Source organism: Homo sapiens, chromosome 9, assembly GCF_000001405.40.
Source record: "Homo sapiens chromosome 9, GRCh38.p14 Primary Assembly".
In the NCBI taxonomy this organism is placed as follows: domain Eukaryota; kingdom Metazoa; phylum Chordata; class Mammalia; order Primates; family Hominidae; genus Homo; species Homo sapiens.
In genome coordinates this window covers 99,128,638-99,154,856 of record NC_000009.12, presented here as the reverse complement: position 1 = coordinate 99,154,856, position 26,219 = coordinate 99,128,638, and the positions used below count along the sequence as shown (strand labels likewise).

General features: G+C 37.8%; 1 protein-coding gene and 1 pseudogene across 29 annotated transcripts in view, besides 1 other annotated feature; one reads left to right on the top strand and one right to left on the bottom strand.

Annotated features, from left to right (window-relative positions):
* TGFBR1 (transforming growth factor beta receptor 1) overlaps positions 665–26,219 on the bottom strand; it is a 50,546-nt gene continuing 24,991 nt past the window's right edge. For 12 of the 29 annotated variants that reach the window (NM_001407423.1, NM_001407424.1, NM_001407425.1 and 9 more), the window contains 8 exons: positions 25,757–26,002; positions 22,118–22,348; positions 16,768–16,998; positions 12,154–12,321; positions 9,969–10,125; positions 8,248–8,372; positions 7,073–7,203; positions 665–5,677 (listed from right to left, as the gene is read on the bottom strand). In NM_001407423.1, coding sequence (NP_001394352.1) covers positions 5,552–5,677; positions 7,073–7,203; positions 8,248–8,372; positions 9,969–10,125; positions 12,154–12,321; positions 16,768–16,998; positions 22,118–22,348; positions 25,757–25,892 — 1,305 coding nt within the window. In that variant the 5' untranslated portion in view covers positions 25,893–26,002 and the 3' untranslated portion in view covers positions 665–5,551. Of the gene's footprint in view, positions 5,678–7,072; positions 7,204–8,247; positions 8,373–9,244; positions 9,361–9,968; positions 10,126–12,153; positions 12,322–16,767; positions 16,999–22,117; positions 22,361–25,756; positions 26,003–26,219 lie in introns of all 29 variants that reach the window. The other 17 variants (NM_001407418.1, NM_001407419.1, NM_001407422.1 and 14 more) reach the window with 11 other exon arrangements.
* Positions 8,891–9,017, top strand: RNA5SP290 (RNA, 5S ribosomal pseudogene 290; annotated as a pseudogene).
* Positions 17,454–17,583: an enhancer, noted in NCBI's record as "active region_28699". NCBI's record gives its function as "activates an Ori minimal core promoter by ATAC-STARR-seq in GM12878 lymphoblastoid cells {active_cell/tissue: GM12878}" and the evidence as "EXISTENCE:reporter gene assay evidence [ECO:0000049][PMID:35858748]".

The following is a 26,219-nucleotide window of genomic DNA, read 5'->3' as shown; positions in this document are numbered from 1 at the left end:
ACTGAGGTTACTAAATAGGGTAATTATCCTGGATTATCCAGATGGCCCCCTGAGTAATCACATGGCCCCTTAAAAGCAGAAGAGGGAAGCAGAAGCATTAGAGAGATGCAGTGGAAGAGACAGTGGAGAGATGAGGCAGAAGGGGAGATCCGAGAAAAGTGCAAGGATGATTCAACCCATTGCTGCTGGTTTTGATGATGGAGGAGGGAACCACGAGCCAAAGAATTTGAGTGGCTTCTAGAAACTGACAACCACCCCTGGCCAACCTGTCTTACAACCATATGGAGCTGAATTCTGCCAACAACCTCAATGAGCTTGGAAGCCTATTCATCCGAGCCTCCAGAAAAGAATGTTGCCCAGCCAATGCCTTCATTTTGACCTTTTAAAATATGGAGCAGAGAACCATCTGAGCTATGCCTAGACTTCTGAATTATGGAATTCTGAGATCATAAATAGGTGTTGCTTTAAGCCAGGGCATTTGTAGTAATTTATGGCAGCTATACAATCATACAGTCTTTGCTAGTTGTACATATATCCACCATTTCTGGTGCTCTTCATTTCATCCTGTGGATTCAGGTTACCATCTGGTGTCATTTATTTTCTGTGTGAAGGATTTAGTATTTCTTGTAAGGCAGACGTCCATAGGCAACAAATTGTCTTAGTATTTGTCTGGGAATGTCTTTAATTTCACTTTTTTTCCAACTTTCAACAAAAGCTTCATATCCTGGTGATGTCTTTGTTATAAGGAAAAAAAAAAATCCCTAAATCCAGCCTTCAAATTGAAGTAACTATCTTTAATGTGAGAGCAATCCTATTCACAAAGCCCCTCCCCAGAGTCAATCAAGGGTTTGGGGACCACATCTCATCATTTTTCCAGTTCTCTTGTAAGCCAAGTTTTCACCCCCAGGAGACTAACAAATGTGCTGACCCAAAGGCAACAGAGATCACCTGTAGACAGGTCCATCATGCCCCAATGGAAGACCCACACCCCTAAGCATGTGGAGAAAAGCCCCCAGGCACAGAGACACACCTGCAGACAGGAGGGCACTCCCCGAACACGCTATAATATTGTAACTTGCACTAGGCAGGGTTAGAAAACTTCTAAAGACTCTTGTAACTCAAAGGTTCTAGTTGCCATCTACAGCAACTACATATGGCATGACTCATTCCAACGTATACACTTTATTTTAAAATATGCCACTGGCACTTGGGAAAAATGTAATTTATTTGCACTGCTTCCATTCTTCTACTGTAGTGTTAGGACTTAACATAAGCATCACTCTTCTATTTCCTATTTACATTCTTTTGGAATATTACTACAAATACAATATACAATTTAAAAAAACTTATGGGGAAACACAGCTTATGTTTTTTTCTCCTCTTTACAGGCTTCTCAGTATCATTCGACTTCAATGGAAATTTATATGGACATTTTCTGTACATATCTTAAAAGGCAGAGATTACACTGATAAAGCCTAAAGAATCCTGCACAAATACAATACAGAAAACAGAAAGTACAGACGATGTTATTTGGGGTACAAATATAAACAATACAGTACCATTTGAGTAACTGAGCAACATAATACCCATACTTTATAGAAATAAAACTGCAAACCTGGAGAATGCTCTGACAAATATTAAACATTATATACACAATGAGGTAAATGTACCTTGGTCTCTTGAGAGGTAATTTAAGTTTAAAGCAATTGACATTTTGAAGCATCTCCTTAACATATGAAGAAATATCAAACACCCTATTCCGTTGGCACAACGTGAAAAAGGGGTATCAAAACATGGTTCATGATATTCAGTTCACAAATCTTGTTAAAAAATAAAAACAAATTCACTGAAGTTCCTTTTAAGTTGTAATAAACAGGTTGAATGTTATTAACCATATTTTTAGAAGTTTACATTTACAAACAAGATTGCATAATGGGATTGAAAAGTTTAATGTACTGACAATCATCTTAATGTCCTAGAAGTCCAGCACTCTTGAGAGGGCCCATGGGTATTCCAGTAATCCAAAACAGAGACAAGAAGCTGCAGTACATGTCCAAAGATAATCCTTAGTATCTCAAAATATCTGAGCTGGCATTTTCTGCCAAAGTGTTAACAGAACCATTATTTGGAATCACTACCATTTGGAGCCAGAACACTGCCATGGTCAAGAAACAGTTGACTTACGATTCTTCCAGTGCAAGAATAAAAATAAGCTTTTGATGATGTGTCTAATGGGATAGTGATTTTGTTGTGCACTCTAACGATCTCTTTGCCATCTTGTTTTAATCTGACAGTTCTCAGACATAGAGAAAAAAGGTAACTCATGCATGTACTACAAAATCGCCAAGTGACCACTTACATTTTGTAATAAAACCTGAAATCTGGGATTCTTGATGGCCATGGCACTGTACACCAACTCAAGGCACTTCTTGAGCACTATCATTATTACAGCAGAATTACAGGCTCAGCTCTTCAGACCTTACCCTGTCTTATAGGCGATACAACTGGCCACTGTTTCTGGCACAACTCCACTGCCACAGGAGCCACCTTGCTGCCATCCCACTCCTCATCCATGGCTGAAGTCAAAGCAGGGGCATCCCAAGCCTCATCTGCTCAATCTCCAAACTTGGAGACCCCTCCCTTCCACCTCTAATGACTGAAGGAAATGGAAGTGGGTCCCACAACTTCCATCAGCCGTTTTACTCTAGGTCTCCAGAGCAGCCTTCAGTCAAACGGCTGTGGGGGAGGCAACGGTCTCTGCGTCAGGGACCAGCAAGCAGGAGAGCAGGTTCCAAGAAACAGCTGGAGACAGAAAGGATGGACCAGGGATGTCTATGCCTCACTAAGTCGTATTTCCCCCATCCCCATTTCTCCTGGCTACTGACAAAATGAATATGGACGCACAATTTACCAGAAGATGTTTTAGCCACGTTGAATCTTGGAAGGTGAGCATCCTAGGATGGGCAGTATAAACAACTGTGTTTTTAAATGACAAAATTATTACTCTAATCAAATTTATCTGCAGTTATCGACAGTAATCATGATCCATCCCACCTTTTAAGTTTCTTTCATTTTCAATATCAGCCAATTGTGGTTTATCAAACCATCCCTAGCCAAAAAAGGAATTAACTGCAGTAATACGTAAAGTCAATTTAGAACTAAACTCCAACTTTAAAAAAATTCCCTGATTCATCAAAAGTACATTTTATCCACTTAGGTAAGAAAAGTATAATTGTAACTCAATCTTTGATTCAATAAAAAATATCTTCAGCAAAAGTGGATAACCTTACATGAAAGTGAGAAATCATGTATTACAACTTTAAATCAGACAACTTTTGGTATATTCTTAAAATTATATAAAAATAGTTTTAGTGATAAAATGCATTGGTCCCCTGGATTTCATAAAGCAGATCTGGTAGGCTTAGAAATGGCCCAAAAACAACAACAAAAAAAAAAAAACAAAAAAAAAACCCCCACAAAAAAAGTACCTGATCACAGAATTAGAGATTATTATTAAACAAGTAATACAACACAACTATAAAAACAAACCTCTCAAACTCATTCATTTGCTTCAATGAAATTATGGTAACTACAGAAAAAAACTCAACTTTGTAGTCAAAATAGTAACCTCTAAGCATTTTTCCCATGATGTTTTTAAACACATGAAATTGACACTAAATTCCTATGTAATATGTCACTCATTCTAAAATTACTTTGGTTTTAAGATCAAATAGTCTTTCAAATTTATTCTACGTATAAGAGATAAGACATTATCAGAATGCAACTCATTCAGTGTAAATGGCCACTTTCTCTTCCTGACCAAAATACTGTATGGGTTACTCTGACCCTGTATCGGGGAACTGATAGCACTATAAAGTCGAAGTCTTGCCTCAGAGCTATGATAGTTTTTTCTCCCCTCAGAATAAGATCACAGTGATAAAAGGACTTCGAAAACTGTAAAAGCCCTGCAGAGACTTCATAGCATTGGAAGTAAAAACCAGTTATTATAAGCTAGTTTCAACTTAATGTAAGAAGACCATGACAAGTTTGCTTTCAATATTTGACCAAAGACATCTGTAAATGGAGAAAAACCTATACTCAGAATGTTCTTTAGCTACCACCTCTCCCAAGTAACAAGGGTGCACTGAATGCATTACATAAATTACATGTAAGCAGTTGCAATGTACGCACACATAAGGAAACACTGAATTAAAAGCTGCCTTCCTCAAAGTGTAGTGAGACCTCAAAACCACACTAGCTCTAACCTCAGTTACAAAGACAGAGGATCCACCGAACGTTTACTCCTACATACATAACAAATGTGACTTTCTTGCACATCTGTTATCTATTCAAATTATTAACTACCTTCGCCTTCCTAGAAAAAGGCCTATTATTTAATATTAACCATATTCTAATTTTAAATGTAATTCATGTCTTAAAAAATAAGTCTTTGAACAGATAAAGAAAAAAATGGCTTACAGAATACCACATAACTTTTCACAAGCAGCTAGACAGACTTTCCCTTTTAGAAAAATTAGTCTGTATGCTACAAATATTAAAGTACTATAAGCATCTAGAGTGCCACTTGATTTTTTAAAAGTATACTTAGACAACACAATTAAAATGCAAAAGCTTGATGTGAGAATATTCAAACATGACCATGCTAATAATTTACTAATTAATGCCACTTCATTTCTTTAGTGGCTTAAGCACATTTTGGTAGGAGAAAGGCATTTTCAGAATAGAATACCAAATGACATACCACAAAAACCCTTCCAAAAACAAAACAGAAAAAGTTTGGGTTACCCAGATAAATAAGCTTTTTGAATTCAAACACTATAGGTTTTAACATAGAGACTTTCAGCAATTCTACTCATTTCCATTAGAAAGACACAGAAGTGGCACTTACTGGTATAGTACAATCCCATTTTGAAGGCATGTAATGTTCTGAATAAGTGAAAGAACAATAATAGTATACAAAATACAATTGCATGAATTATGTTCCTCACTACTATATGAGGTCATTTTTAGACTCAAGATAAGAGTTTTATAAGTGTTAGTTTTAAGATCCTGAAAAACTATAGAACAGTACATTCAAAGTCTGAATCAAGGAAACTCTAGTGGTTCAGAATCCTCTGAGAATGTACTAACCAGGAGTAAATCACTTTCTTTAGTAATAAGACATGTTTCATTGTAATTCAGCAATCCAACTCCTTTGCCCTTAAAGATGATCTCCAGCACAGCAGAGTTACCTAAAGTTAAGACCAGCAATCATCTTTTTAAAAAACAAGTTTTGTTAATAAAAAATAAAGGTAGACTACACATTTTCTGTCCTGGGAAAGAAGCGTTCATAGTGCACAGAAAGGACCCACATGGCTGTTTCCTGGGTCCAAAGAAATCCTGGGAAGTTTTTAATTGACTTTATTACACTGCTGCAAAAGGAAGCAATATCCTTCTGTTCCCTCTCAGTGAGGTAGAACAATTGACCTCCCAAATTAAAACCCAGGAGCAGATCTGAAGAAAAAAGGAGAGTTCAGGCAAAGCTGTAGAATTACATTTTGATGCCTTCCTGTTGACTGAGTTGCGATAATGTTTTCTTAATCCGCAATGCTGTAAGCCTAGCTGCTCCATTGGCATACCAACATTCTCTCATAATTTTAGCCATTACTCTCAAGGCCTACAAGAAAATATAAAAAAAAAAATTAATGCATGCACCATTTTCCATTGGTCTGGATAAGAATTTTTACGTGTAAATTTTCTTTTTAAATGACATATACACTTGTTATTGTTTAAGCATTATTTGTAATAGCAAATGAGTAGAAATTACATAAATTTCCATCAATAGGGTACTGGTGCCAGTGCTGGAAAGCAGGTGGACAAAGAGTGACTCATTTAGCAAACCTGAAAAGGCCGAATCCTAAACCAGAGCTGGGCAAAGCAAAGAAGAAATCTGACCTCACACTGAAATTTTAAGTTTGTACTTTGAAGTATTCACATCAAATTTTTCTTTCTTTTTTTTTTTTTTGAGACAGGGTCTCACTCTGCCGCCCAAAGTGGAATGCAATGGCATGCCCTCAGCTCACTGCAGCCTTGACCTCCCAGGCTCCAGCAATCCTCCCACTTCAGCCTCCCAAGTAGATCAAATTTCTAAAAGACAAAATCTAGCAGCACTCTCATTTATTAAACTATGTCACATGCAAATTCCTTAAGCATGCTGAAATACATTTTATTTATTTGGGCCTGGAGATGTGATTTTGTTGGAGGTAGCAAGCTCTCTTGCTTATCAGAGGTTCTGCTGAGTCCTACAATAGTTTAAGACGTAAAATCAACTACTGAACTGAACAGCTTTTTATAGCCTTTTTAAGCTACAAATCTTCAAACCTGGAGGAATATGCTCTGCTTCACCAATATTGTAATAGTAACAGCTAGCAATTAAGGAGAGGTTAAATAAAATTCATCTTACGAATCTTTAAATTTACAATTACAAAAACGTTTCTAAAACTTTTTGTTAGAGCTGAAGTTGAGCAGCTCAGATACTGCTGGAAAAAAGCATTTTCCCTAAATTCCTGGTTAACGGTTATCTGGGCAATCAGATGAATAAAACGGAAAATCATTTGAAACACCTTTGTAATCACCTTATCTGAGTTCCTCACCTTGCAAAGGGATATTAAAGTCCAGAGAACTAAAGGGATTTGTTCAGAGTCAGACCCTTGAAATGGTAGCCAGGCTGGTCTAGAATACAGGGCTCCTCATTCATGTCCGGTAACTGTCTAGTGTTCTGGGTTGCCCCGGCTGAAGGGAGGCATTCATTTAAAAATATGTGCCTTAGTTCGCCCGGCAGATCTAAACTATGTTCTGATACACTAAAGGCCACTGCAAATGTTCCATGGCCCTTTCAATGTGCTTACAATTGAATATGAAAACCAAATTATTCTGTTTTTAAACATTGGTTTGACTGCTATGAAAAAGAAAATTCTTAAAGAAAAGTTTTCCTTAAAGAAAAGTAGCAAACTTTTGCTTACTAAGCAGAAGCAGTTTAGAAAATTGCCTAATATCAAAAAGAAATACTCACTTCACAGCTCTGCCATCTGTTTGGGATATTTGGCCTTAACTTCTGTTCACAAACAACTTTTCTCATTTCTTCAACTGATGGGTCAGAAGGTACAAGATCATAATAAGGCAGTTGGTAATCTTCATGAATTCCTGTATCAGTTTAAAAAAAATTAAATTTTGATGAATTTATTCAGCTAATGCCAAGGCATTAAAAGATCACCTGAGAGACCTATTACAGTGTTTCATTACTAAAGTAGGTATGTGGAACAGAGATTACAGCTTTCTCTATCTCATCCACATCTGTATCCACAAGCCACTTCCCTGAGTTGATATTCCACCCACACCTTGAAACTAAGTATTGCCATGAGATCAATAAAGCCTATTTGAAATGACAGTAAACTATGAGCTGTGATGACCAGATTGACATTTTCCCCTAGAACCCTATTGTGCAGCAAATGAGATTCTATTCTGTAAGTGCACAGGCTCTCACTTGCACAGGGATATATATACCCTATCAGTGAGACTTGAATCTTATGAGGCAAGTTTAAGGTGCCAAGTCCCTTTCTCTACTTGCATCTGTCAATAATATATCCTATTTACTACAATACAGAGAAATACTCTGTCCCTCACTGCTTCAAAAACCTAAGGCACTAGGTCTCAGCCAAGTCTAGGTCCCCAAGCCTAAGAGACTGTTTCCTGAGTAAACATTAAAAGTACTCCATCTAAAAAGCTAGAAGTTAAAACAAACTAACTCTAGAATACAACACAATGGTAACATAATTGTATTCTGTGTATGTAACTGTAACTATCAAGTTGGAGAAAATAACCACAATCTCAAAGAAAAAAAATAAGTTTGACACCCAGGTACATGCTAGAAACAGCTTCCTAGGTGAGCCTCTCAAGCAGCTGTCCATTCTAAAGAACTATATTCCAATATAACAAGGGGTTGGGTTCTGATGAGTCTCCAGATTCAAATGGAAACAGGAAGAGAATACACTAGGCTAGAGCTGTGCATGTGCACACCATGGCACTGTCCCCTCCCAAAGGTTTCATCGCCTTTGTTTTCTCTGGCACTCGGTGACATCCTGTTTCAGATAATGGACTGTACATAATTTCATTCAATTAAAAAAAGAAGACAATTCTTGAACAACTTCTGCTCATGACAAACTACTGGGGGAGAGGAGAGCAATTTACCACCAATGGAACATCGTCGAGCAATTTCCCAGAATACTAAGCCCATTGCATAGATGTCAGCACGTTTGAAGGATTCAAAATGTTTCATATTTATGGAATCATCGAGAACTTCAGGGGCCATGTACCTAAAAAAAATTTGCAAAAAGAACTTTGAAAATCATCCCCTTACTGCCATATTTGGATGAACCTCCTTTCAGACATTTCTTTATACATAGACATATGTACACAATATTACATAACAAATATTAGACTCAAGAAAAATATTAAATATCCACACTGGTTTGCACATTAATGATGTCAACTAAATCCCACAAAATGCTAAAATAGCAGTTTCACACTATCTGCCTCATGATCTTGGTTTCCAATGAAAGACATACATAACAATTGTGACTGTTAAAGGTGTCCTAATGTACACCACCTATACACGTACTAGGTAGAAACCATGCATTTTAATTTAGAAGTCTTCTCACTGAGGATGAAAGGAAGGGCACGAATATACTCCAGGGAAAAAAATAATAGATACAAAAGAATGCCAGTCCTCATACTGAAGCTTCAAAAACCTACCAAAATTATGGGTCAGGACCCACAGAGACCTACAGCAACCACTGACAAGGACCCCTTAGCTGGTTGAGAATTGAGAGTCATCTACGGCCATACCACCCTAAACACGCCCGATCTCGTCTGATCTTGGAAGCTAAGCAGGGTCGGGCCTGCTTAGTACTTGGATGGGAAAATTGAGAGTCCCCAGGGAATCCAGAAATCTCAAAATTATACATGCAATTTGAATAGACTAATGCTGCTGGCTCTCCAGCTGTCTCCAAGGCCAAGACAGTAGTTTGAAAAAATGCTGTGACAGCTTGTGATAAGGGGTTTGGGTCAGAAATGCCCAGGTTCAAATCTCAGCTCTTCGGCTTATCATCCACATGAAGCTGGCCATATTATTTAACCTCCTCAAGGTGGTTTCCTCATCTGTGAATTAAAGGGTAATAACACCTACCTAATTAAGTTCTTTTGAAGACTCATGGACTCAACAAATATCTACTGAGGATCTACCATGTATTAGGCACTGTGATGGATGCTGGGAATACAAGGCTGCTCTCAAGCAGCTTGCACCTAATAGAATATATAGGCAAATAAATAAACAGTTACAACATAACGCATAAGTGCCTCAACGGTCCCAGTTCAGTGTGCTATGACAGTCCCTGGCAGGGACTCCTAAGATTTTTGAGGACTAGAAAAAACTTCCTACGGGAAAGGTGGGTATGAGGCTGAGAAACAGTAGGGTAAAGTATGCTCCAGGAGACAGCATGTGCAAAAGTTCTAAGAAAGCAAGAAAGGCATATTTTTAGGAACTGAAATATGAAAATAGCAGGGCTAGCTACTGCACAGTATTTGAGAAGGGATTAAATGAGGTAATATACGTAAAAGACCTATTAGACGATTGGCACATAGTAGGTGCCCTATAAACGTTAGTTACTACTGTTATTATAATTAACATGCCTAATGATATTTTCTGGAAGGGCAACCTTTCATCAGCAGGCATCTTTTTAAGTCAGGTAACTCTGGCTTCAGAGCAGGCAAGACCATGAGATCTTCTTACCTGTTGGCAATCTAATAAAGTGCAAGTTTAAGCTGAGTTTCAGCAATGATATGTATATATGAAAGAGAAGGGAAAAAAGGTGATTTCAGAAGATATTAAATATAGTTGTTCAAAAGTATACCTTTTTGTTCCCACTCTGTGGTTTGGAGCAATATCAATGGTATCTGTGGCTGAATCATGTCTTACTGCCAGTCCTAAGTCTGCAATACAGCAAGTTCCATTCTTCTTTACCAAGATATTCTTTGATTTCAAATCTCTATGAGCAATGGCTGGCTTTCCTAAAGAATCAAAAATTAAACATGACTGCTTAAAAGGTAATACCAATCACAACTCACATCTTTAGGTTCAAAAGTCTCTTCTCCCAACCCAAATTATCAAAGCATTTCAGCCCACATGACCTACAATACTTACGGCATTATTAAACTCAAGTGAATCACTACACCAAAAGTCACTGAATTTATATTTCTTTAAAGAAAATGTGGACAATAACATGCTTTAAAAGATGAACAACTCAAAGACTGGGGCAAAAAAAAAGTTATCAGTTTATCTGTTGGTGCCTTATGAATTCTTTTTAAGAAACTTAGCCATAGACTGATATTCCAGCAGCCCAGGAACCAAGCATGTAGAACATCACTTCCCTATCAACTGCAATGTACTCAGTATTAAGTATATTATCTTTGATGCTAACCACTAGAAAATGTTATTAAAAAATAATAATTATAATGTGGAAAACCTGGAACCTTCATACACTGCTGGCAGGAATGTAAAATGGTTCAGGCACTTTAAGAAAATAGTATGGCAGTTCTTCAAACCATTAAATAGAGTTATCATATGATACAGTAATTCAACTCCTAGGTATATACCCAAGATAACTGAAAACATGAAACTACATACAACTTGTACACAAATGTTCACTGCAGCATTAGCTACAATGGCCAAAAGAAACAAACCAAATGTCCATCAACGAACGGATATATGACATATGCCATATCCATACACTGAAGTATTACTTAGCCATCAAAATGACTGAAGTACTCATACGTGCTACAACATAAATGAACCTTGAAAACATGCTAAGTGAAAGAAGCCAGTCACAAAAGACCACATATTGTATGATTCATTTATATAAAATGTGCAGAATAAGCAAATCTACAGACAAAAAGGAGCAGTTGTTGCCTAGGGCTAAGGAGTTTGGGAGGAAAGGGGAGTGACTGCTAGTGGCTACAGGGTTTCTCTTTGGAGTGAAGATATTCTAAAATTGACTGTAGTGTTTGCTGGCTGTACAACTCTGAGTATTCTAAAAACCACTGAATTTTACACTTTAAGTGGGTGAACTTTATGATGTGAATTATAACTCAATAAAACTGTTACAATCAATAATAATAATAACTACAAAGATGGAGCTAAGATGTGAACTAGCACTTATGCTGTATGTAAAGTGGGGAGTGGGGGAGCCATTGGGTTGCAAGTGGACAACTGCTAGAGCAGAGAGATATACTGGCATCTGAAATCCCACATGCACAAAAACTACAGCATACAAATGTCATAACTAAAACTTAGTATTTAATTTTTCAACTGTAAAACTATCTCATGCAGTCTCCTTATCTCAAGGTCAAATATAATTATTAGATGGCCAGATAACAGTTACCTAGCATGTTGATGTTTACAAAGCACTTTCACATTTCATTTGATACTACACATAAAAATATATTCAGTTGGACCTGAATTCTGAAACTGAGATCCTCAAAAATCATAAGATTGAATGCTACTTTTAAGAACTCAAAAAAAATCACAGTTTTGTTACAACGACTAGAGAATCTCTAAACAAATTTCCAGATTCCTAGCTCTACCTGAAATTTTGAACTGAAAGATAAAATGTTCTCATCTAAAAAATTTGTTTTAAATATCTCCAGTTAGGCCACCTACTGTTTTTGTTTTTGTTTTTTTTTCTGAGACAGGGTCTCTCTCTATTACTCAGCTGGGAGTGCAGTGGCATGATGTCTGCTCACTGCAGCTTCGACCTCCCAGGCTCAGGTAATCCTCCTACCTCAGCCCCCTGAGTAGCTGGGACTACAGGTGCATGCCACCATGCCCGACTAATTTTTTGTATGTTGGTAGAGATGCGGTTTTGTCATGTTGCCCAGGCTGGCCATGAACTCCTGAGATCGGGCGATCTGCCCACCTCAGCCTCCCAAAGTGCTGGGATTATAGGCATGAGCCACCAGGCCCAGCCTCCACCTTCTATTTTCATAGACATTATTCATGAAAATTTAAAGCTTAAATAATAGAACTGCTTATAGAATTACCTTGGGTACCAACAATCTCCATGTGAAGATGGGCAAGACCGCTCGCCGTGGACAGAGCAAGTTTTATCATTCCTTCCACAGTAACTGTGTATCTGTTTAAGTAATCAAAAAGGGATCCATGCTCATGATAATCTGACACCAACCAGAGCTGAGTCCAAGTACCATTGTCTGTAAAACAGAATTAACATTTCGGTTGGGCTGCAGACCATTTATGATTTATTTGTTCAATGGTTATTACTTTTTACTCTCAATCCTGAGTCACACACTGCAATATAATGCCACCTTAAGTCTGTATTTCCTTCACATTTTCTTCTACATTGTTTGTTTTATACTTTTATGTACACATCCTTTAGTTCCTCAGAGTAAGCCCCTCTTCTTGAGATAAGGCAAGTATAATTAATCCCATTTAAGAGACAAAGATGGTGACTTTTTTGAGTCTTCACAGATAATTGGTATCAGAGCTGGCACTCTTAAGTGCCTAGAAAAATCTCTGGGTCGGGTTGGGTGCTCAGTGGCTGTTCCTGGAAGGAGAGAAGGTTAAAAAAAAGGAAGGAACAGAGAGGGAAGCAAGGAGGTGAGAAGTCTCCGGAGACCAGTGTGGCCACAGTGGGAATGGAAGAGTATGGGACAAAACTGAAAGTGAGTTTCAACAAGAAATGACAAGCTTTAGTGACAGATTGTGTACACAGTTCACAAAGACGCAAGACAAGATGATTATGATTCCAAGGTTGCTAGCTTAGAAAAACAGAAATAGTGATACCTCTAACACATGGGGAAGCTGAAATAGGAACTGAAATGTCAGGAGCAAAACTGGAAAAGCTGGGACTAAACTCAAACAACGAGGAACGTGGGTTCCAAAATTTCCTCTGTAAGCCAAAACACGAGTTTAAAACATGTTTTCTCATAGGAATAATGGTAAAGACACTAGCTAGGCTCCTAAGCTAGACTGGTCCACGACAATCTAATTTAACCTAGAAGTAGCTGGAAAACCACATGCTTAATTAAGCCATGAAGAAAAAAAGCATTACAACATTAGGAGACAGCACAATCCAGTAAAAGATGGACGCTTAGAGTCATTCTAACCTGGTTGGAATCCACGGCCTGCCTGTTACTGACAAGGAGCCTGTTTCTCCTTTTATACAAGAATAAAGTCTTACTTTGTAAGACTGTTAAGATTTAAAAAACGGAATGCTAGATTCTTTAGGTAAGAAGTACATAAACTGTGCTCTTTCTTTCCCTGCTGGTTGTAAACCAAAAGAAAAAATCCATATTGACATGAAACAGCTTCTATTTTGAAGGTATTTGGTTGAAGAAGAAAACCAACTCTGATTAGAAGAGATTAAGAAAGGAATAGAAACTTTTCAGAAGATTCTGGAGGAGATTTCTGGGTACATTTAAAAGGACTTAGTATTAATTTGTTCTTCATGAACTTTATAAACTGATTCTGACCAAACTCGCACCCTTGCTTTTCCTTGATATAGGCACATCACTAGCTTATTTGCATGCCTCTTAACCATTACTGAATTTTGAAAAGCTCACAAATACAAGAAACAAAGTGGAAGACAGGCAGATGGAAGAAAGGGAAACCACAGGTTATGGACAAGATAGAAGGAAGGTTATATGTAAGGGGCCATAAATATAAAGGGCTGCCGGGGGTGGAATTAACTAAATCAGGAGAAGATAAAGGAACTGAGGTGGAGGGGCTAGGCTCAGAGAAAGTACATTAACCCCTGACAAAGAAGAAAGAAGGGGAGTAGGGAAGAGCCAGTAGGGTCAGCTAGTTCCCATGGTGACCACCAGATGACAGCATCAGCCTGGTTAGAAGTTCAGGGCACAGACTCACCAACATTTTGTGCTGCTGTGTTTGTAACTTGGAATGTGACAAAATCCAGACCCTGGGTGAGGTTTAAGCTTTCAAATGGAGATTTGAGAGTTGCCAACATGGTAGAGTTTGAAACCATGAATGTGGCTATGTTCTTAAGGAAGAAATTACCACTTATAAAATCAGTACCTTCATATGAACCAGTGAGAAGAGTAAGAGTTGAGAAAACAAAGACAACTATGAAGAAGTAAGAAGGAACAAGGAAAGTCTAGGGTCATCAAACACAGTAAATAAAGAAAAGGTTGTTTTAAGAGTTGGGGGAGGAAATAAATGGTGATAAAGGCAGAAACGAAAATGAGAACTAAGGATTTGGTCAGACTGATTACTATTTTTTGTTTTGTTTTGTTTTGTTGTTGTTTTTTTTTTGAGACAGAGTCTCCCTGTGTCGCCCAGGCTGGAGTGCAGTGGTGCGATCTCAGCTCTGACTGCAACCTCCACCTCCCAGGTTCAAGCAATTCTCTGCCTTAGCTTCCCAAGTAGCTGGGATTATAGGCACCTGCCATCATGCCTGGCTAATTTTTTTGTATTTTTAGTAGAGATGGGGTTTCATCATCTTGGCCAGCCAGGCTGGTCTTGAACTCTTGACCTCGTGATCCACCCACCTTGGCTTCCCAAAGTGCTGGGATTACAGGCGTGAGCCACTGTGCCCGGCCTGTTTTGTTTTTAACTTAAGAGGTATTACATTGTCAGGTGCCACTGATAATCGCTACCTACATTCATCATATACCTCACTGCCCCGTCTTAATCAAACACTATACACCTCCACATATGATGCAATAGGATGTATATAATATCCTTAGTATGTATTTTGAGAAAACCAATAAAACTCCAATTAGGTTTAGCTTCTAAATCTAACTACCAGTTTTCAGAAAAGATAGAAGAACAAGTTAAGAGACACTATGGAAATGCAATCAGCAAAATCCAGAATGTGATAGGCCCTTCAGGATAAACAATCCAATTTCTTCAACAAATAAGCTGCGAGAGGAGAAAAAAGATGAAGGGGGGACCTAAATTTTAAGACACATAAGAGAAATATCAACTAAATATAACTTGTGGACTTAGAATCATAATTTGAATAAATAATTTTTTTAATAGGAGACAATTATAGAATTGAACCTAACTGGATATTTGATAACATTTAAAAAACTGACAATGGTAGTGTGGTTGTTTCATAAAAACATTTCCTCATCATTTGAAGATACAAATTACATTTTATAAGTGTTTACAGATGAAAACATATTGTCTGGGACCAGCTTCAAATAACACAGTTAGGGCAGAGTAGGTGGGATCAGACATCAATTATGATTGGCAGTGACCTGACAACTGTTGAAGCTGGACGATGAGGGATCACTGTAACTACTCTGCTTTTCTACATATTGGAAATTTTCTACAAATAAAAGTCAATAACAAAAAAAAGCAGTACATGCTTGTAAATAAATTTGAAAACCCAGAGAAGCTAAAAGAAAAATAATAAAAATCACCCATAATTACCAACTGAGGTTAAACACTGTTAATATTTGAATAAATAAATATTGCTGAAGTAAATGGAAGGTGGGAGAAGGAAAAAGATGACTACAGGTCTGGCCAAGCTAAGAGATAATGACAGCATTTTTTTTTTTTTTTAAATAGGAAAGCTGGGAAATACATTTGATTCAGGGGTAGGGATGACAAGAGTGGAGCTGAAACACAAGTCTCTGACAGAGGCAGTAAAAATAGGAATCGTGGGGGCTGGGCACAGTGGCTCATGCCTGTAATCCCAGCACTTTGGGAGGGTGAGGTGGGTGGATCACGAGGTCAAGAGATGGAGGCCAACCTGGCCAACATGGTGAAACCCCATCTCTACTAAAAATACAAACATTAGCTGGGCATGGTGGTGCACGCCTGTAGTCCCAGCTACTCGAGAAGCTGAGGCAGGAGAACCACTTGAACCCAGGAGGCAGAAGCTGCAGTGAGCCGAGATTGCACCACTGTACTCCAGCCTGGCTACAGAGCGAGATTCCATCTCAAAAAAAAAAAAAGTAGGAATCATGGGCATAAAGGTATTAACGGAAGCTAAGAAAGTGGCAGCAGCACAGTCTAAGGTCACTGCTTGCAGTCCCCACTCATTCTGACTCCCTGCTGACAGGCTTCCTTCCTTCTTCAGCATCTGACCTGACACTGGGCCTCAGGCACCAGCATGATAGGCAGAAAAGTGTCCGTACAGTTACCAGGGTGGTTGAAGAAACAATTTATCTCTTTGAGTTTGCCAGAAGATTCATCTATTTAGCCCTTGGCAACTCAGAACACTGACAAGTTATTTTTACTCTCCCCATTAATAAGGTCAATAGTCCATATTGAAACATCCTACTGGTCAGGAAGAGATTAAAAGGAAACAGCTATCTGAGCCCTATTCTCAAAATTTTGAGCAAGTTTATATATCTTTTCTATATCATGAGTACTCTCAATAACTAACTGCCCTAAACTAAACCAACAAAGTACATGGCTTTTTAAAATAGCTCTTTTATATTTTATAAAACATTAAGAGATTTTAGGAATGCTATCAAGAGTCAAGAAAATCTTGAAGAAGTTCCTAGTTCTAAAAGTTACTAATATATTGTATTCGACTTAATGGGTCTAATCTACATGAGAGACATCTATGTCTCATCTACTTTGATGATGGTTAGTCACCATATCTGTAAAGACTTAAAGAGATCTTGTTATATATAACATAAGGAAAAGCAAATGTTACAGACCTTTATTGTCTGCTGCTATAAATCCCAGGATGTTTTCATGACGTAACATTACAGTTTGATAAATCTCTGCCTCACGGAACCACGAACGTTCTTCTCTAGAGGAGAATATCTTAACAGCAACTTCTTCTCCCCGCCACTTTCCTCTCCAAACTTCTCCAAATCGACCTTTGCCAATGCTTTCTTGTAACACAATAGTTCTCGCAATTGTTCTCTGAACAAGCAATGGTAAACCTAAAGGTAAAAATAAATAGTACTCAACACAATCAACAATATTACATGTTTCAAACATCATGATAGGCACTAATGAGTGACCCAGAAAACTGATACTTTAAGCTATCCCTTTAGGAATTTATCTCACTGGGGAGATATTATATTTGCAATAAAATAACTAATTAAAAAAGGAAAATAAGATAATAAATATAATAAAAGAATCCAGAAACTCCTGCTAGAGGGTCAAGGTAGGCTTTGTAAAAGTAAGTTGAATTTTGACTATCCCTTAAGTACGGTGGTTAGGCAGGAAGAATGTGCAGGCAAAGGTAGAGGGAAATGAATGACACATTTTTAGGGAAGCAGCTTGGGCAATCAGAGAGAGGATATATGTGGCAAAGCAGTGAAAAGAGAAAGTAAGCTGTCACCAGAAGATGAAGAGTACTGAATACCAAGCTCAAAATAACCAATGAAGAGCTTTAGGTAAAAGAGGAACCTTTAAAGATTTCTGAGAAAAAGGGCCATGGCTGGAAGCAAGATAATTTTAAAATCTTATTTTAGAAAGATGAATCTCGTAACAGTTTCACTGATGGGAGGAAAAAAGGATGTGAACGCAGAAACACAGAAGTAAATTCTGGCTTTTTGATAAGTCAGTAAAAATCACCACAGAAACTATTTCAAGGAAAGCAATTTACTTGCTGACAACTGGCTACATAGACAACACTAGTATCTTGAAGAACAAGGCTAAGTAACTTACCTTGGTAATGGAGCACTGTTTTTCCACTAATGGAACTTGGCTTTCTCCAAAATATGTATTTTTAAGTATTGCCATACTTACTTCATTTAAAAGGGTTTACTAACTTACCTGCAACATTTAAGTGGCACTATATGTGAGACCATCACTTAATATCCTATCCACCATCCGGTAAGTGTCATTTTAAATTACATTGACACTAACAAAGAAAATGCCAGTGTACATCATGTTCCTCACTCATATCTTATTTATACAATCTATGTACATATAAATTGGTGTCATTTATAATCTATACTCAAAGCTGCTTACTAGATCAAATTAACCCAATGACAGTAAATGAAATTATCTGCTCTCTTTGGTTCCCTGATGTGAAATGCTTATAAATCCAAACGTTAAATCTTTAAAGCGATCAGAAGCTCTTCTTCTTAAGTTTCTCAAACGGGTCCTTTCTTCCTCTTGCTCTACCCTCCCCACCTCCTGTAAAGTAGTTAGCAGTATAACTATAAATAACTGTTTGTGTTTATAAGGAGGCTGCTAGTTAGAAACAGATCTGTCAGAAATCCTTATTTAAATCATAGAGCTCTTTCGCACTATGTATAATCAATTCTAATTATGTTGTTTAGTGTAGATACTAATTTATTACATTTTATGAAAGCCTTGTAGAGGGCCACACCACAGACTTAAAAGTACACTTAAGAGTTAATTTCAGGAGACTAATCTGGAAATTGCAAAGACAAGTAATAAAAAAGAAAAAGGAATCACAAACACAAATTCTGAAAACACCTGACAGGTTCAGGACTTGTGTAAATGGTATGGTCAAGAAAGGCCAACAGGACGAGGAAAGGTTTTGTCTTCCCCTTTATCACTGGATTCTAGATGTCAATTAAAATTAAAAAGCAAATCTTGATCCACTGTATTATCTATATTGGATTACTTCACATGAATAGTTGAGCATTTTTAAAAAGTTAACAATTGGCCAGGCACAGTGACTCACACCTCTAATCCCAGCACTTTAGGAGGCCGACGTGGTTGGATCACTAGAGATCAGGAGTTCAAGATCAGCCTGGCCAACATGGTGAAACCTGGTCTCTAATAAATATACAAAAATTAGCTGGGCATGGTGGTGCACACCTGTAATCCCAGCTACTCAGGAGGCTGAGGCAGGAGAATTGCTTGAACCCGGGAGGTGAAGGCTGCAGAGAGCTGAGATCCCACCACTGCACTCCAGCCTGGGCAACAGAGTGAAACTCCGTCTCCAAAAAAAAAAAAAAAAAAAGTAACAATTTTCTTCTAAAGACAAAACTGAATAGGCCTAATTTAGATCTCTATATTCTCTGCTCTACTCTTCTGTACCTTTAGAACTGTTTGAGAGAAAACTTCAAAAGGGAAACAGGGACTCCACAGCTTTACATGCAGTGAACAGGAAATAAGACCCGAACAACATGCATATATTACAAGAGCTCATAAGCTGCACACGCCATAACAAACACTGGCCTAGAAGACTCACTTACAAAAGCTGGCACATATGCACATGTGCACACTCACACACTTGGCGTACAGCTGCCAGAACCCAGCTCTTCATTGTATTCCCTGAAGTTCCCAAGTTAAAAGCACAGTCTTTAGAGGTAGAGACAGGGCCTTTCCTTAATTATGGTCACGGTACTAAGTAATAAACATATGAATTCAGAATGTGAAATGCTTATACCTTTTCCTCAATTAATGAAAGAACTAAAAACAGAGTATTACAAACACACAGTTTACTTATTCACAGGCACTAGTCTCATGCCTAAGGTGGCATTAAGGATTTATAATGAATAGAAGGGAAACAGATGGCATTTTCTGCTATTATTCACCAGAAGATGGCTTCTGCCTGGATAGGTTTGGAGGGAATTCAGTACACAATGAACTATGACAGGCAAAGGAGGCCTTAAACTAAGTTTTGTACAATGTGGTCAACTGATACTGTATGTTAGATTTTTCCTCCAAGTATGTTTTCAATAAGAGTAACACTTGTCATTTGGACATAACTCTACAATTTACCAAGTGCTTTCATGCAAACATTTTGTCTTGCTTGAACTCACAACAATCCAATGATGTGCACAGAATCCATCACTTTCATTTTAAAGATGAAATAACTCAAGCATGAGACATTGGTTAACTGCCCAAAGCCACAGAGCTAGCAAGCAATGCAGACAAGTTTTTGCAGGGTAAGGCATCAAAGGAGGGAGAGAAGCTTTCAGAGAACAGAGAGCTATGGTCCCTCATGGATCTAGAAATATATATATATATATATATATATATATATATATATATATATATATATATAATGGAAACAGAATTATTCCATTGTTTCTCATGTTTATATCTTAAAAGGTTAATGAAGATATTCTTATCCAGTAATCAACTGCCACCCACCCACCAATTCCTTTAATCAGTTAGGTGGGCTTATTCCACTGTGGCAAGTGGCATGAGTGCTGTGTCTTTCCGGAGTATAAGTTTAGAAACAAGAGAACAGGTTTGAGGGATTAATTCCAAATATCTGTAGCCATCCTGATTTTCTGTGACTCTGGTCCTTGATTATCACAGTTTTGAGCAGGATGACTTCCAGAATGAGCAAAATCTTTTTGAAGATCTGAACTGAGAATAAATGGGAAGTCCCAGGAAAGCTCTAAAATAACCTCTGTCCACCAGGCCTGCCTAAAGACTATCACACCTTCAGTACTAAGACTGCTTCATCTAAGTCCAAACTCTCATTGTCTTCCTTGCACAACTGTTTCAGGAATCCCTAAGCTTGCCTTCTGGGACGTGAGCTCCAGTGCGAGCCTGTGTGTGTCCTAGTAGTCAAGGAGAGAGCTCTCTTATTGAATACATATGGCCAAATTCTATAGAAGAATAATTCAGGTAATAAAATCAGTTTCTTCATTCTTAAATGAATGGATATGCATACATACCAATATATATTCATTTCCTTAAAATAAATAGACATTTGTCATTATATGAGCTTTCTGCAACATTAGATGTGATTTTATGCTTCAGAATTATATTCTTACCCAGTCACAACTTCTGCTTTAACATTCCTTTAATATCACTCAATTATAAAATTAGTGAAAATTTTTTTTTTTTTTTTTTTTTAGATGGAGTCTGTTTCCCAGGCTGGAGTGCAGTGGTGCGATCTCAGCTAACTGCAACCTCCACCCCCCAGGTTCAGGTGATTCTCCTGTCTCGGCCTCCCGAGTAGCTGGGACTACAGGCGCATGCCACTACGCCCGGCTAATTTTTTTGCATTTTTAATAGAGATGGGCTTTCACCAAAATTAGTGAAATTTTCATTATATACGCTTTACAAATTTTCACTTTATTCATGAATTTAGCCCTTATTTGAAGATGACTCATACTTTTCAAAGGATAGTACATCTCATTTAAAAGTCTTAACAAACCACTTGAAGTGTTTTTATCAACAGTATGGGTTCCATATTTTTGATGAGGAAACAGAAGCCCAAAGAGGAAACATGTTCTAACCAAGGTTATACAGCCAATCAATGACAAAGCTTGCCTTGAAACCTAGATCTATTTATTCTTCACCAAGTGTCAAATTCTAAAAACACAGGGGATAGGAGTGTTCCTCTCTTAATATTTTTCCAAACCACATGCAAGAAAAAGTAAAAGATAACCCCCTTTCAGTTTAAACATGAAGCACTGCTATGCCAAAATCCACCTTGGGATGACTCTGACAATTAGCTCATCTACTTCTGATGCCACAAATATCAACAAATAGAACTGAGAAAAGAAAACGTCATTAGGGGCCAAAACTACATTAAATAAGAAGGTGGTTAGACATTTTTCTCAAGTGAGAAAATGACATAAGAGTTCATTAGTTTAATTTTAAAAAACCAGGCCTATACGAAAGACAATTTCATATAATGTTTAAAAAGTAAATAACCTTCACAATTCTGAATACATTTCTGTCATGCCTGTTTTCAAATGTAAACATCAAGCTGCTAAACAATCCTGAATAGAATGGGTTAGCTGCAGATCATGTGAATATCTTTGACCTTCAGCTTCATCTATATGAGAATAATTGTTCTTATCCTTTCTACCTCACAGTGATGAAAAGCAAATTAGATTATACAAGTGAGAACGCTTTGAAATTTATACCACCATGGAGCTGACTTATTGATTCGCTTTAACAGTTAAAGTTAAGTTCCAATCTATTTTAAACCAGCCACAGTCATATATACATCAAGCTTAAAGATTTTTATTAGGTTCAAACCTGCAATATTATTTATACTATCTCACATTCTAGCAAGTTGGCTTATTAGAAAACTAATAAAATAAGTATCGCTTAATTTTAAAAAGATGTCTTAGGAAAAAGGAGAAACAATTATGTTACCTGAGCCAGAACCTGACGTTGTCATATCATAAATTAAGTCTTTCAACGTAGTACCCTCTGAAATAAAAGGGCGATCTAATGAAGGGTCCTCTTCATTTGGCACTCGATGGTGAATGACAGTGCGGTTGTGGCAGATATAGACCATCAACATGAGTGAGATGCAGACGAAGCACACTGGTCCAGCAATGACAGCTGCCAGTTCCACAGGACCAAGGCCAGGTGATGACTTTACTGAAAAAGGGCCTCGAGTGAAATAAACATCAACAACGACAAAAACACTGTAGGTGGCAACCCCCATTTTCCCAATCCTACACAATTCCTGCAGCTGGCCACTGCCACCACTTAGCCAAAGAGCCTCATTACAGCAGTTTACAGGGCTCAAACCCAGAACAAGTGAATCAGTCTTCTCCCACTAGGCCTCCTTTTATGCACACCAGCTCTGTCAGCACCCACTTACTCCTGTATTCTTCAGCCATCATTACAAGGCCAACTGCCGCCAATATCATAGGACCTTCCCCACTTATCACATCAGGTCACTAATACCAATAACCTGTAACAATACCTATTAACATCTCCTTAAAAATCATATTTTTTTTAATGTTTGGCTTGTCTTCTTGTTCCAAGGCCAGTACATGCTCATAGCAAGAAAAACAACAACAAAAAAAACAACAAAATATCAAAACAAGCGAAAAAAAAAACCACATACATCTTCATCACTTCTAAACAACTCACATTTCAGTATATATCTCTCCACCAATTTTTTTTTTTTTTGAGATGGATTTTCACTCTTGTTGCCCAGGCTGGAGTACAGTGGTATGATGTTGGCTCACTGCAACCTCCGCCTCCCGGGTTCAAGCGATTCTCCTGCCTGAGCCTCCCAAGTAGCTGGGATTACAGGCATGTGCCACCACACCTGGCTAATTTTTGTATCTTAATAGAGACGGGGTTTCACCATGTTGCTCAGGCTGGTCTCGAACCCCTAACCTCAAGTGATCCACCTACCTTGGCTTCCCAAAGTGCTGGGATTACAGGCATGAGCCATGCCCGGCCAATAGGTCCACCAATTTTTTAAAGGCAGAACATATCTTTTACTTTTTTTTTTTAACAGAGTTTGCATATATATACTTTTTATACTATCTTAACCTCCTGGACTTTTAAGTCCAGATCATTTTCTTGTAACTTCTATTAATAATTAAGATTTTCTGGTTGTTTCAGAAAATTACAATTATTTTGACATTCATCCTGAGTCTTACTGGTTTACTGCTTACCACCATTTCTTTCATATCACATCTTTCCCATTCTTAAGATCTTCAGTAGATTAATCTCTTATCATACAGAATCCTATTTCTAGTAATTTCTTTCAGGAAGAGTCCATGCACCCTTGTACACTGAACTTAGTTGTGGCAAGAAGGCTGTTGCCTTTGTATATGAAAAATCTTGGCCTATTTCAAGAATTTTAGGTGATCGTAAAAATGTTCCATTTGCCCTTTGATATTTAAGCAGAAAATCTGAACCTGTTTTTTTTTTTCACCTTTTACAGGTAACCAATGTTTATGTGTGTTAAATGCTTATATAATTCTTTTATTCTTGAAATTGATACTTTTTATTATATGTGTTTGGATTAATATTTTTTCATTAATTTTGCCTGGTATTCTGTCTTCTTTATGATTTCATGCCTTTTTCTGGAATTCTGATAATAAGCATATTGGATCATCTAAATCTGTTCCCTATATCTCTTAATATGCTCACCAACTGTCTTTTCTCTGAATTGTAACACAGTTTCTTAAAACTTGTCCCAAACTTGACTATAAAATTATGGCATCCAGTCTGTTGTTCGCTCTCAATAGTGCATTTTTAAAAACATTCATCAGTTGGGCTTTTCTTCTGAAAGCAACCTTTAACAACTGTGAAATGTTCTCATTTCATAGTGAATAACTGAAAATAGACCCTGTACTGTTTGAAAGTTCTTCCCTATCATGTGGTAAACCTATTTCACAGGATGACATCTAATCTATCTAGTTCAGACTACTTCTTTTGAACTCCTAACTTTTCATTGGTAATTTTTTGCTGTTTGCTTATCCTAGAGCTGGAAATGAGAAGTTTATATATGTTCATTAGAAACATGAGAAATAAGGTGACTTCTTCACAAGGTTTTGTAAATATCTATTCAGATATTTCAAGCTCAAATGATGGAAATGGGAAATTCTGGAATTATCCTTTTCTTTGCCACATTATAACTGCAGATGCTTTCATCAAAGTCACAAAGATATTGTAGTCCGACCAACCCTTACCACAGGGGAGCTGCATTATCATGCTGAACAGGTGGAGGACTGGCCTTTTCCTTCTGCGCTACAGCAGTGCTTCCTCCTTTAATTAGCACAAGGCCTGGACCAACTTTGAGTGGAGAGTGAGCAACTGTGTCTGCTCCTCTGAGCACTGAAGCCAGGTGCTTCCTAAAAGGGAACTGAGAGTTTGCCCCCATACCCTAACCTCACCCCCCAAATCCTTTGTCTAAGTTATTGGCTGGACTTTTCGATGACTAACCTTTCTTATATGGCTAGTCAATTCTTTACTAGTCTGGTGTCATCTGTACTGTAAATTGCAGAAGTTCCTCACAAGTGCTGGCATGTGGGTGGCATTCTACCATTAATCCCACTAGCATTAATACAGGTTGCCCTCATTTTTATATTCCTTTGGGATCTGGGGAAAGAGGTAAGAGTTAAATACATGTGCTCAGACTTCCATATTAAACCGGAATCTTAAAATTAAAAAGTTTATGAAGTCTTCAAACTGCTGGTTCTGCCAGGAAATTTTATTTATTTATTTATTATCTTTTTTTTTTAGACAGAGCCTCACTCTGTCACCCAGGCTGGAGTGCAGTGGCACAATCTTGGCTCACTGCAACCTCTGCCTCCCAGGTTCAAAGATTGTTGTGCCTCAGCCACCCAAGTAGGTGGGATTACAAGCATGTGCCACCATGCCCAGCTAATTTTTGTTATTTTAGTAGAGATAGGGTTTTGCCATGTTGGCCAGGCTGGTCTTGAACTTCTGGCCTCAAGTGATCTGCCCACCTCAGGCCTTCCAAAGTGCTGGGATTACAGGCATGAGCCACCGCACCCAGCCCCAGGAAATTTTAAATGTAAACTACAGGTGAAGGACCAAAAATCTAGAAATCATGTATAATTAATTTACGCAAAAAGATCATAAAACAAGCTGAAATTACAAAATGAAAACATCTAGACTGTTAAGTGCTGCTCTGAATCCCCACTCATTAAAAGACTGTGATTGCTTTAAAAGATAGGAGCATTATACAAGGAAGAAGAAATTCACTCTGAGAACAAAGTAGAGACAATCTGAAGATGTTGTTGTGGGCTTTGTCAGAGTTTGCTTTTATCTATCCTTTTAGGTATAACAGACCTCAGAGGAAGTCCACCCTGGAACCACCTTCTTAAACAACACATACCCAGGAGGCAGGATCTTGGTTACTCTTATAAGTCTGTAACAATGGACAAGTCACTTCTTGCCTCTAAACGGAATGAGCTGGATTAGACAATTTTTATGATCCCTTCCAGTTCTAAAATCACAGAGTATGAAGAGTTTTTCTTGTAGTATCTAGGAAAAAAATTTTATACAACTTACCAGTAGTTGGAAGTTCTATTTTATTGCAATGGTCCTGATTGCAGCAATATGTTGTAGTCACAGACCCAGTTTTTGAAGAGGGTGCACATACAAACGGCCTATCTCGAGGAATTAAGTCAATTTCAGCTATACACATGCTGTTGTGTATAACTTTGTCTGTGGTCTCTGTGACAGAGACAAAGCAGAGCCCATCTGTCACACAAGTAAAATTGTCTTTTGTACAGAGGTGGCAGAAACACTGTAACGCTGGAAAAAGAGAAAGATTCTTAGAAAAAATCTCAAGGTTAACAGTTTGAAATTATCCAATATTCACTCTAATAATACATTCTTGATCCTATTATCACACAATTTCTATGCACTGTTTGTTGCTCTTAGAAGCAAAAAACAACTATTTGTTGCTCTTAGAAGTTTCAAATTATATTAAGAACCACATACACGTGGAAGCCCAAGGAAATGTAGCAAC